This window comes from Homo sapiens, chromosome 22, assembly GCF_000001405.40.
Source record: "Homo sapiens chromosome 22, GRCh38.p14 Primary Assembly".
Classification (NCBI taxonomy): Eukaryota; Metazoa; Chordata; class Mammalia; order Primates; family Hominidae; genus Homo; species Homo sapiens.
This window is the reverse complement of record NC_000022.11, coordinates 48,883,877-48,896,295: the sequence shown is the minus strand read 5'-3', so window position 1 is coordinate 48,896,295 and position 12,419 is coordinate 48,883,877. Positions and strand designations below refer to the sequence as shown.

The 12,419-nt window shown below is 55.8% G+C and overlaps 1 long non-coding RNA gene across 1 annotated transcript in view; it reads right to left on the bottom strand.

Annotated features, from left to right (window-relative positions):
- LINC01310 (long intergenic non-protein coding RNA 1310) overlaps positions 1–12,419 on the bottom strand; it is a 31,617-nt gene that overhangs the window by 2,091 nt on the left and 17,107 nt on the right. The window contains exons 2-6 of the long non-coding RNA NR_038944.1: positions 11,184–11,243; positions 9,084–9,283; positions 3,164–3,630; positions 1,681–1,892; positions 153–1,561 (exon numbers count right to left, since the gene is read on the bottom strand). This is a non-coding gene — a long non-coding RNA (long intergenic non-protein coding RNA 1310). The remainder of the gene's footprint in view (positions 1–152; positions 1,562–1,680; positions 1,893–3,163; positions 3,631–9,083; positions 9,284–11,183; positions 11,244–12,419) is intronic.

The window sequence follows — 12,419 nt, the reverse complement described above, 5'->3', positions numbered from 1 at the left end:
CCCCATCACCCCTCTCTGCCCTTCACCCCATCGCCCCTTTCTGCCCTTCACTCACCCCTGCCCTCCACCATCCTCCCTCCTCCCTCACCCTCACCGTTTTCACTGACTTTGGATCCCACAGTTCCTCCTGAGCCTCACTCCCACACACTCACCCTCAAACACCCGGGTGCTGGAACCGGGCCTGTGTGTCTGGCAGAGGCTGAAGGAGCAACACACATCCCCAGTGGAACTGACAGCGTAGCGGAACTTCAGCCCCAGCTGGATTCCTCGTCCATGGTTGGCATCAATGGCATGGGCTGGAATTCACCTGGGTTGATTCTGGCCCATGTGGCGCAGGTGCACCTGTGCTCTTCTGCAGGCCTAAGGCCTCAGTGTATTCCCTGCCCACGGGCTTCATTCACTTGTCAGCATAGATGCAGCTTCGCAAACTGATCCCAAAGCTAATTTCTAGAAATATCGATTCTTTCAGCGACCTCTCCACTACAGCCTAAGGTATCTCACAGGGAGGGAAGTCTGTCTAGAAGTTTCGTCTTGTGGGAGGTTCCTGAAATACTGTGGACCCCTGTCCTGGCCGTGTGTCCACATTGCCCGTGATAACCAACACTCTTATCCCCTTCCCGCCTCCAGCACGCCCACACCACCTGTCCCTCTCTCCTCTCCCAGGTCTGAGAAGTGTCTAGAAGCCAGGCCGTGTGCCTGCCACATCCTGACCTGTGTCCCATCTGCCTGTCGTGGGCCTGTCCGGGGTGCAGTCAGGAAGGGTCTCCTGAGCCCTCCTGGATGTCCAGGCTCCTCAGCGGTGTTTCCCACATCCACACTTTGAGGGGTGTGACTGGGCAGGACAAACCCCTGTGCTTTGAAACCAAGCAACCCAGGTTCAAACCCAACTGAAGGGCTGTGGGGTCAGGTGCCTTTCTGAGCCTGTTATCTGTAAGGGTCGGGGTGGTGGGAGTATCCCTCCTGCCTCCTACACAGAAGTGGCCAGGGCAGCTGAGATGGGAGATGTGCTGTTCCGAGTGAGGCTCTGAGAAGGAGCTGGGTGAGGAGTGACGCAGTGAATGTATGGCTGATGTCACCTTGCTGCATCTGCACACACGGCCTGGGGTCCACACCACCGCCCCCGTGGCCAGGAGTCTGAAGCCTGAGGGTGCACATGGCAGCTGCCCAGGTGGAAGGCGCCGGGGCCTGTGAGTGGGACCCCCCCAATCCTGACTGCTTCCTGGGGTCCAGAGCACAGAGAGTAGGGTCTGGTGCAGCTCACAGGGTGGGTGGGTGTCCAGCAGCCAGCTCGCCTGGTCCCCACACTTACCCAGCCTTCATGTCCATGTCCCCATGTGGCCACCTCCCAATGCCCAGCGTCTGGGGCCACCTGAAAGGGAGTGAGGAACGCATCCAGGCGGGATCGCCCTCCCTGGGATCTTCTTGGAGGGAGGAAGGAGTGTGGCCGTGTTACCGGAAGGGGACTCAGCCTGGGGAGCCGGTGGCTCCATCCCTCGATCTGTGGCATTGATTTCTGTCACAGGAATGCCGTGCCTACTGCTGTGGTCCCAGGGGAGTCTCTCTGTCAGCAAATGCAACACAAACAGGATTTGTTAACAAGCTGCTATTATACCTGGAGATTGCGGCTCCAATGGGGTTTAGAATGAGGAAGAAAAGCCTGGGTGCTTGTCCGGGTGCTACCTTTGTCCCTGGCAGCTTGTCACACGGAGCACAGGGAGCTGGTGTGCTGCTGATTTCAGACAGGGGGCGCCACGCCCAGAATGGCCGCCCACAGGAAGGGCACCCTACGGGGCTCAACACAGAGCGGGGACTCCACGTGGCTTCCTCAATGCTCCTGCAGTCCACGGTTCCTCATTTTGATGGAGGAGAGGATGAGGCCCAGAGAAACAGGACTTCAGCAGTTCAGATGCGAGGCGGCCAGAGGCCACATGGAAAGGAACAGGGAGGATGTGAGAGATTGTCCCCGGAGGGAGGCAGGAGGCATCGTCCTGCAAACGTCCTGCAGTCAGGGCCTGAGGCCGGACGCTGCCCAGGCAGAGGGGCCTCTGGGAGCAGCGGTTCAGCCCCTCACTGAACAGACAGGGCTGAGGCTCAGAGATGGTGTGAGGGAGACACTGCCCAGGGAAGAAGCGGAGGCCAGGCCGGTGGTGACCGTTCCTGAGGATGGGCTCTGCCCTCGTAGGGAGGCCACCGAGCACCTGTAATGACTACAGCCCTACATCGGCCCCTGCAGGGTCCCAGCCCTGGCCTGCCCCGGGCTCAGCTCCCTGTGCCTTGGGTCTGGGCTGCCCCATCGCAGCTCCTGCTTGCCAGGGTCTGTTACAGTAGAAGCTTCTTACACTCAGAAGAGAGTGCAGCCATGGTGAAGGCCTGAAGGGTGCAGGCTATCACCCTTCCTTGCTGCTTGGAAGAGCAGGGGCTTCCTCTGCCTCCCCATACCCTCTAGAGAAAGCACTGCTCATGTCGCCAGCAGGAGTGGACCTCACTCCTGGGACACATGGGCTGGCCCAGCGGGGGTGGACCTCACTCCTGGGACACATGGGCTGGCCCAGCGGGGGTGGACCTCACTCCTGGGACACATGGGCTGGCCCAGCGGGAGTGGACCTCACTCCTGGGACACATGGGCTGGCCCAGGAGACCCCTCTATCTGCCACCCTGCCGACACCACCCAGCACAGTAGAGCAATGGGGGCCTCCAGCAGAGGAAGGACGCAGCTTGCCCGAGATGCATCTCTTACTACAGAGGGGTGTTCTCCCTCTCGCCCTCCCTCGCTCCCTCCTGTTTCCTCTCCTCTGCCTTCTTGCTCTCCCTTCTCTTCCTCCCCATGACAGAAGAACATGTCCACACCCAGGTCTCTGTCCACACCCGGGTCTCTCTGTCCACACCCGGGTCTCTCTGTCCACACCTGGGTCTCTCTGCAGTGCTCTGTCCACACCCGGGTCTCTCCGTCCACACCCAGGTCTCTCTGCCGTGCTCCTTCCTGGATTTTGCTGGGAGTTCTTCACTCCCTCCTATGATACCTGATCCTGTGTACATGCTCAGTGCCCTCGTCCTGTGTGTGGTCAGCACCCTCACCCTGTGTGTGGTCAGTTTCCTCGTCCCTGTTTGTGGTCAGTGCCCTCATCCCTCTGGTCAGCACCCTCGTCCCATGTGTGGTCAGTACCTGGCACTGTTTTCTCCCTGGATTCCAGGTCGTTGGTCTCACTTGGCCTTGAGCATTGCTGTCTGGATGGGTCTCTCCTGAGCACCCTGCCCTCGGGCTCCAGTTTCCCGCTTCTCCAAAGTCCTGACTTCCCCATCGTGAGCACCGGTTCTGGGTGCTGCCCACAGGAGTAGGTGCTGTCTGGGTGGGCAGTGCCCATTGATGTGGGGACTGAGTGCAGGTCTTGTGGAAAGATCAGCAGGGGACACCCTTGCCTGCTGTCTCCTCCCAGCTGGGCCCCTGGGGTTGGGGAAACGGAGACACCATCCCCCCAGAAGTCTGTTTGGCTCCAGAATATGAGGCCATGCCACGCAGGGCATCTTTAGAACACCAGCTACTGTAGTGCACAGGGATCACAATGCCTGCCTCCCGCTCTCTGCTGGGGAGGGAGTCCGATTCTATCCAAAACAAAGCATGCCATTGAACAGCTGGGAAAAAAGGGAACAGGAATTATCCAACACCATCTAGCAAAATGAGTTCCGAGTGACCCCTGCTTGCCCGTGCTGTGGTCAGAACACTCGCAACCAGCGTCTGTGTGGTTGGAGGTTTGCTGCAGACCTCCACCCCCAGCATGTAGCTCTCCTGGGATACAGTGAGGGGAACCACACACTTTGAAACCTGCAGACTTTATCCGTGACAAGTGTGACATGGACGACCAGAAAGTGACCAAGCTGCTCCTGGCTCCAGTTCCTCCCAGCAGGTTACCTGCTGTGCTGAAGGAAGCAGTGCCCATGTTGAGAAAAACACAGACCAGTGAACTCTGGAAACACCTCTTTCCAGTAAATTCCACCAAGTCTTCAGCCTCACCTCCTGCCTTCTGGGTCAGGATGGCAGTTCTCGACCAGACCTCATGCCAGCTGGCCTCAGACCCACCAGGAGGAGAAGCCCAGGCTTGGCTGCCAGCTCTCTGCCAACCTCCAGTCACTCACTTCCTCTTAAACTCTGAGATACCCTCGAGTGCAACTGAGCACATGGCTCTGCCCAGATAGAGGCAAGCTTTTCTGGACTTTCTTGCAGCGTGGTGTGGCTGTGTGATTAGGTCTGTCCCATGGGACCTAGGCACAAGGAATGGGCCCCATTTCTGGGAAATGTTCTTCAAAGTAACGGGCATGCACTCTCTTTGGCCCATTCTTCCTTCCAGCTAGCTGGGATGCAGATGTGATGGCAGGAGCTAGAGCAGCTATCCTGAGCTCAGAGTTTGAAGCCATTTAATGAGGTAGCAGAGTCACCCTGCCAGCCAAGCACTCCCTGCCTTTGGACTGATAAACGGAGGCTTTGTTACCCTGTGTTAAATGGTGCCCTACATCATAAGAGCAGTGACTGATCAGAGACAAGCTGGGAACTGCCCCAGGCTTCCACTCTGACCTTTTACAATAAGTATGATGTGGACAGCACCCAGAGGTGGAAATGCAAAACCACTTGTCCCACTGCTCTTCTTCCTCAGAGATCCCAAGAAATGGGACTGGCACCACCAACACTCCAGCCCCAAGGGCAGCCACATGCCTCTCTGGCACAGGTTCCTCTGGGTGGTGATGGGGGAACCCACCCTCTTCCGTTTGCAGCTCCCCCATCTCAGCCCTTAACTTCCAGCCCAGCTCGGGAATGGAAGAAGGAGGGAGTGAGGCACCGGGTCACAGTGATCTTGGGCCCCACACTGCTTCGCTCACCTTTCACTCAGGAAAATCAGCCATGTGCCCCTCCCTGGAAACTGGGGATGGTGGGGAAAACATGGATATTTGGGGAGCTTTGTAGGGCCTCATGATTCTACTGGGAGAAAGTGACCTACTCTACTTCAATATAAAACCATTAATGTGTCTCCTAAGATGCTGCTTGGTCTAGAAAACCAGAAAAGAAAACTGAAGGAGGACAGTTAATTTACACCAAAGTGAGAGACGATTTGCTGATAGGAAAACTAGGCAAGAAGACACAGCATTTAGATACAAGCAAGTTTCCACAGAGGCTCATAGACATCTCCATCAGAGAGGGGCTGATGATACCCACGCTGGGGGCCGTGGAAATAGGGTGACATCACAGAGGAGCGGAGCGGTGGGCAGGGTGGCACGCTTGGCTGTGGACATTTTTTAAAATCCCCAACTTTGAACAAAAAGTGAAAAAGTCTACGTTTGTTATTAGGTTAGTGGTTGTTCCTAGTACCCAGTGGGTAAATGTTGGACACACATGTAAAATGCTCATTGAGACCCCCACACGGTCAGCAGCCCCTTGTTCCTCCATCTGGTTCTGCCCTGGTAAAGAACTTGAATGTGAATGTGACTGGCCCACAGCCTGTACCCCTCTCCTGTCCGCCAGTGACCCACCATCCCATCAGGAGGCCAAGACACCCCCCACGTGAGAGACAACAGAGGCTGGGAATGCTGCCCCACCTCCATCTTCCCTCCCCTGCCTGCCTCCTCCACAGCTGCTGCCCCAGGCTGGAGCCCCAAGGCCTCCTCCTCCTCTTCTGCCTCCTTCTCATGCTCTGCCTGCCGTGGCCACCTCGCAGCCCCTGGCCTCGTGTGGAGCCCCTGCTTGTCCATCCTGCTGACTGCAGGTAAGGAGAGAGCCTGGGACGCCCTGCGACACTGGGCAAATCTCTCAGACCCCCGTCCACAAAAACAGCCCCCACCCGGCCTGCCAGCTCGACGAGGAAAATTCTGTAGAAAGGCAACTCCGACTCACTCCCTTCCTGAGCGTGTGGCTTGGCTCGGACAGTTCTAAGTCTCCACTGCTTAGCTCTGGGGCATGGGAACAGGCTGGGGCTGAGCTCACAGGGCCTGTGAAAGGGTGAGATGGGACGCGAGGTCTGCTAGAGAGAGAGCCCCGTGTGCGAGGCCCCAGGGGCTGCTGGAAGGAGCCACCACGAGCTTGGGGGCATAAAGCAAGTTGTGTTCATCCTCTCACAGTCTGGGGCCAGAAATCCAAACTCAAAGTGTCTTCGGGCCTGTGCCATCTCCTGAGGCTCTAGGCTCCTTCCAGCCTTTGTGCTGCCTCCTGAGGCTCTAGGCTCCTTCCAGCCTCTGGTGGCTCCCACATTCCTGCGGCCTCACGGCTCCAGTCCCAGGCTCCGTCCCCTCCATGTGTCTGAGTCCCGAATCTCCCTTTCCATTCCCTGAAGAGGAGACCTGGCATTGGACTTGGGGGCCCACCTGGGCCCATCAGGGTGACCTTCTCATCTTGAAATCATTAACTTAACCACATCTGCAAAAGCCCTTTTTCCAAATGAATCCAAACCCACAGGTTCAGGGGTTAGGACGTGGACAGATCTTCTGGGGCCAGCAGCCCCAGCTCACTGCAGTTAACAGGTGTCAGCGTTGACAAGCAGAGCTATCCCCAGCCTTCAGTTTGCAAGAAGTACACTCACCCCTTTCTCTCTCCTGCCAGCTCAAATTGCCCCTTGCCCGAGAGAAGCCTGCAAAGACCACGGTGCCTTCTCTCCTACTCCCAAGCCCCCAGTTGGCCATGCCTGCCAGGGAGCATTTCCAGCCCCGGGACTGAGGACCTTGTCCTGCCTCTAGGAGGTGTCTCTTCCAGGCCTCCACCTCTGTTCTACACCAGGAGCCCACTCCATGCATGGACCTGGCTTTGTGGCTCAGAAACGTGTGTGGTATGAAAATCCGGTGAAATCAAGTAAAATAGGAGGAAGGCAAGGTAAACCCAGCGCGGTGCCCTAGATGCCCGCAGAGCAAGCTGAACTGTTGCCCTGCCAGGCCTGGATGAGGGAGGAAACCTGCAGACGGGGGCACTGGAGGGGAGAGGGTTGACCGCGGCCGGTGAGTGCTCTCTGCTCTGAGAGTTTGATTGAATGAGATTTTTGGTTTGGCTTCACTGGTTATTGTAGTTTTTCCATTATTTTATTGTGCAAATTCCTAGTAGAGTCAGCAGAATCGGGAGGCAAACTGAGCAGCTACTGTGAAGTGTGAAAAATTACCCTCAACTAATACAATCACGCTATTTGCTTATGGGATTATGGCATGGAAATGAGGCCTCCAGGCTGGCAATTTGGCAGCAGACTCCGGTCACCTTTCCGGGCAGCAGCCCTGGCCCAGGAGTTGTGGTTCTCCTGACTTCAGTGGCAGGATGAGCTTTCCGGCTCCCGTGGGGCCGACGCCGATCTTTTCTACGGCATTGACAACACCATTAATTGTATCACGGACAACACACCCCAGGGAGCTAGGCAGGGCACCTCCAGGGAGAAAATACACTCATCTCACATTCACCCAGCAAATAGTGACCCACCTCTCTCAAACACAAACACAGACCTTAAATCCAAGCAGCCTGGGAATAAGAAGTGAAACCTTTTGAGTGCTGTGTCACCCCACAGACTCTGGGATTCAGGAGGCAGAGACCAAGCCTTGCTGCCTTTGTTTCCACAGCTGCAATCAGGACGGCATCCCTGATCCAGTAAGGGCTTCTGCCCTGACTCCACAAGATAATCACCTGAGGGATTCAAGAAACTCTAACGTCGAGGCCACATGCCAAACCAGTGAAATCCAAATGTCACGTAGGGGCCTGGGTTCCAGCATTCTTCCAATGACTTCCAAGTGGCTTCATGAACAGCCACTGCTGAGAACCACCATCCTAACTAGAGGTCTGGCAAGGTCATACCAGAGACACTGAAGACTCACATCTTCATTAGAATTCATGCCTGAAAGATGGAAGCAAAGGCCCTGCACACGGAGTGAGTTTATCTGTTGAACACGGAGGATACCCAGAGAGTCAAGCATCTCCTCAGCTCAGGAAGTGTTTAAAAAGTAAGTGGTGAGTTGGCAGAAGGGATAATGAAATTTTAGATAAATGTTTGGATGGATGGATGGATAGATGGATGGATGGATAGATGGGTGGAGAAATGGGTAGATCAATGGATCATGAATGGAGGAATGGGTGGGTGAGTGGATGGATGGAGGGATGGATGGTGGATGAATGGATGAGTGAATAGATATGTGGTGTGTGGATGGATGGATGGGGGATGGATGGATAATGGATGGATGGTGGATGAGTGGGTGGATGGATAGATTGGTTGGTGAGTAGGTGGATGGTTAGATGGTGGATAGATGATGGATAGATGAGTACGTATGTGGGTGGATGAATGGATGGTGGATGAATGGATGGATGGGGATGGATGGATGAATGATGGATGGATGGATAATGGATGGTGGATAAGTGGATGGATGGGTGGATGGATTGGTTGGTGAGTAGGTGGGTGGTTAGATTATGGATAGATGACGGATAGATGTGTACATATGTGAGTAGATTAATGGATGGTGGATACATGGATAGATGGGTGGGGATGGATGGATTAATAATGGATGAATGGGTGGGTGGATGGATGGGTGGTAGATGAGTGGATGGATGGATGGATGAGTGAATAGATAGATGGTGTGTGGATGAATGGATGGATGGTGGATGGGTGGGTGGATGTTGGATTAGTGGATGGATTGGTTGGTGAATAGGTGGGTGGTAAGATGATGGATAGATGAGTACATATGTGGGCGGGTGGATGCCTGGATGGTGGTTGAATGGATAGATGGGTGGGGATGGATGGATGAATGGGTGGGTGGATGGATGGATGGTGGATGAGTGGGTGGATTTGTTGGTGAATAGGTGGGTGGTTAGAAGGTGGATAGATGATGGATAGATGAGTACATATGTGGGTGGATGCATGGATGGTGGATGAATGGATGGATAGATGGGGATGGATGGATGAATAATGGGGAATGGAAAACACATGACAGACAGATTTTGTGCTGAAGACTGCGTAGAATTGTGAGACAGCCTCCCTGACCTGTTGGAACTTAGAAAGAAGATGGTTTACTGAGGCAGAGTGTGACTCAGCCCCATAAGCTGGATTGCGGAGGGATGAGGAGATACAGTGATTGACACTTACTAAGCACTTCCTGTAGACATGGCCGGGAGCATCCCGCAGGAATCTCCACATTCTCCCCCTCAACGGCTCTCACAAATTAGGTTGCCAGGAGGTGGCAGGGCTGGACCCAAACCCCACTGTCTCTGGCTGCAGGACAAGTGATCCTCATCAAACAGACAGCAAGGGCTCTGTGCCAGGCAGGTGCCAGCGACGCAGGGGGCCTGCTTGTGAAACAAACAGGTGGGCAGATAGATAGGTGGGCAGGTTGGCAGGTGGGCTGAGCTCCCCAACCCCCGACCAGCTGTTCTTCCAGGGCTTCACGGTGATCGAGACAGATCCCTTGATGTTGGAAGGCCACAGCCTGGTGTGGAGGAGGTCACCCGAATGGGACCTAGCCTGCTACAGGATGCACGCCTCTGGACCTCGGTGTCCCCAGCACCTGGGAAGTGGCCACTAGCTGAACAGGTGTCCTGCCCGGGACGCTCTTCCCCAGTGCCCGCCTGCGGGACTCCAGCTCCTTGTTCCGGCTCCTGCTGCACTAGCTCCTGGCGACTGAGGCTTCTCCCGACCCCCTGTAAGTAGAGCTCGCCTCGCCCCTGCCCTCCCTGCCCCCTGAATCTTCATGTCCCTGCCCCGCATTTCCTCACTTGCTGCGTCATATGTGTGCTTCATACGTTTAATATTTGTTTCTCATCTGTCTTCCCCTGACCTCAATTTGAAGTCAGGCTCCAGGAGAGCAAGGGCTGGATTTTCTGAGCATCATAACTTCCTTCGTGCCCAGAACAGCCGCATAATAGATGCTCCATAAACACTTGTTAACCACATTATTGTGTGAATAAATATCAGGTCCTTTTGCTCACTGGGGAATGCTGGTCAATAAAAAAGGAGTTCAGGAATTGTAGGGGCAGGGAGGGGGCTTCATACTAGGGGGCAGGCAGATTGAGGAGTTCCAGGGCAGCTTAGCCTCCACTCTGACCCTCAGTCTCCTGCTCTGCTCGGCCCAGGTGCCACTAACTCCTCTGCTGTGGCGCTGCCTCGAGGATTCACGAGATGAGGCCCGTCAGGTGCTCAGCCCAATGCTGGCCCCGACCGTGCTCCATGCACCTCAGCTGCCGCTGGGTCTGCTGCTTTTATCTGCACCTGCCCCTCCTTCTGTACAATGTATGGGCCTCTATTCATCTCTCCTACTTCCCCATCTCCAGGGCAGCAGGTATGTGTGGCCCGCATGTGTGTGTGATTTGCAGGAAGGAATAGGCTATTTGGAGATGGTGCTGGCTCAGAAGACCAGGAGGGAGGGGTGAGGGGCAGGAACAGAGGTGACACGGCAGATGCGGACACAAGGCTGACTTGGGCTCAGGGCCCAGTTCCAAGGTGCCACCAAGTCAGGTGGGTGGAGCCCCAGGTGGGTGGAGCTCCAGGGAGCAGCAGGTCCTGGGCTGCCAACCCCCAGAATCTGATGTAGGCACCATGCTCCACAGCCTGAACTTCCCTTTACCAGGGACATGCTCACAAGACCCTAGGCCTGCCCAGGACCCAAGGTCAGCCTTCCCTTCTCACCCCCACCTGCTGTCCTGGCAGAGAGAGGCCCCCACCACAGGGCGGCCATAGTGGACAGAGCTTCCTCCTGGGCTGGGACCCAGGGGCTGGGACTCCCGGCCTTGTCCCCCTGGGCAGGACCTGGCCACCTCCCTGTTGCCCCAGGGTCAGGCCCAGCCGTGGTGTCGGGCACCCACTAGGTGCTCAGTCAGTGCTCCTGGGGGCAACTAAAGGAGAGGGCGGGACGAGGGGAGGAGGGAGGCAGGCACGGGGCGTTGGAGAGTGCCGGACGAGGGGAGGAGGGAGGCAGGCGCGGGGCATTGGAGAGTGTGGGAGGACGGGAGGAGGGAGGCAGGCACCGGGAATTGTCTGTTGGGAGACGTTTGGGGAGAGAATCCCGTCCCCTCAGGGCCCACTCCCCCCAGAAACCTGGAGAGGTATTGATTGCTCTAGTGGGGGGCGGGGAAGAGGCAGGTGATTGCAGAGATTTGAGGGTATTTTTTTCACGTTTCCCCAGACTCCAGTGAGGACAGGTCTGCAGGGAGCTGCATCCAAAGGCGAGTTTCCCGCACGCGCTGGACAAACCCTTCTCGGGGCTCCTGTTAGGTCTCCCTCTCGGTGGCTCGGGGTCTTGCAGTTTCTCACCTTGGGAGGGAGGTGCTTTGTCGGCCAAGGCTCCAGGGAACTGTGGTGCCTCAGAGGAAAGCCCAGACCCACTGGCGCAGGGGACCGGGGCCCTGGCTCCAGGTCCCAACTCACAGGGGAGGAGGAGCTGGGTCATCACCACTGCTTCGCCTGTGGGGAGACTGGGCCAGGCCAGGCCGGGGTGGATCGGCTCAACCCCATTCTTCCCACAGGCGCCATCGCCGGGGCCCCTCACTGGTGCTGGTTTTATATCAAAGCCCTTGGAAGTAAAGTAATTGTCACTAAAGGACAGTGAGTTTTTATTTATGCATTTTTAAAATTTTCCTATGTGCTTGTTTACTTTGGCTAGACACCTTCAGAATTTAGCATTCCTAAAAACGTGTATTTTCAAAAGCCATTTGCAGAAAGCCCTGGGTCTCCTATCCCTTGGCTTCCCCCACCCCAGGAATTCAGAACACCCCAATCCCATCCCGGCGTTGCCCACACACGTCCTCTAACCTCCACGCGGGCACCTACCTCCACTACACCCTCCCGCATGCATTCCCATCCCTGTGACGGAAGCAGAGACTGGGGGCCCAGCTTGGGTCCTGGTCAGACACTGGCCTGCGTGCAGCCCTCACTTTGCCCTGCCTGACACACGTGCCGTCCAGGGACAATGGACCCATCACTCAGCGTGTTACCAGTGGAGGGTTTCAACTAGGAGTCATCCAGGTTCTTGGCATTTTGAACAAAGAATTGGACAAAATGCACAGGCAAAGCAATAAGGAACAAAGTAACAAAAGCATAGATTGATTGAAATGAAAGCATACTCCACAGAGTGGGAGCAGGCTTGAGTAAGCGGCTCTAGAGCTCTGGTTACAGAATTTTCTAGAGTTTAAATACCCTCTAGAGGTTTATCATTGGTTACTTGGTTACACCCTATGTAAATGAGAACTTGGCCTGCAACTAGTCTGATTGGTTGTGGGAGGCAGCCAGTCAGAGGTGCTTTCCATTTTTCATCTGCCATGCCGTGGAAAGGGGGGGCATTGTAAAGGGGTAGCCTCTGACCCGTTTGTTACTTGGGCATGGAGAGGTGGGGGTTTTCTTTTGATTCAGTTCTAGGAAGTCAGCGTGAATCGGCCTTAGGTTCCCTGCCTCCAGACCCTATTCTCCTGCCTCAGTGGGCTCCCCAAGCCC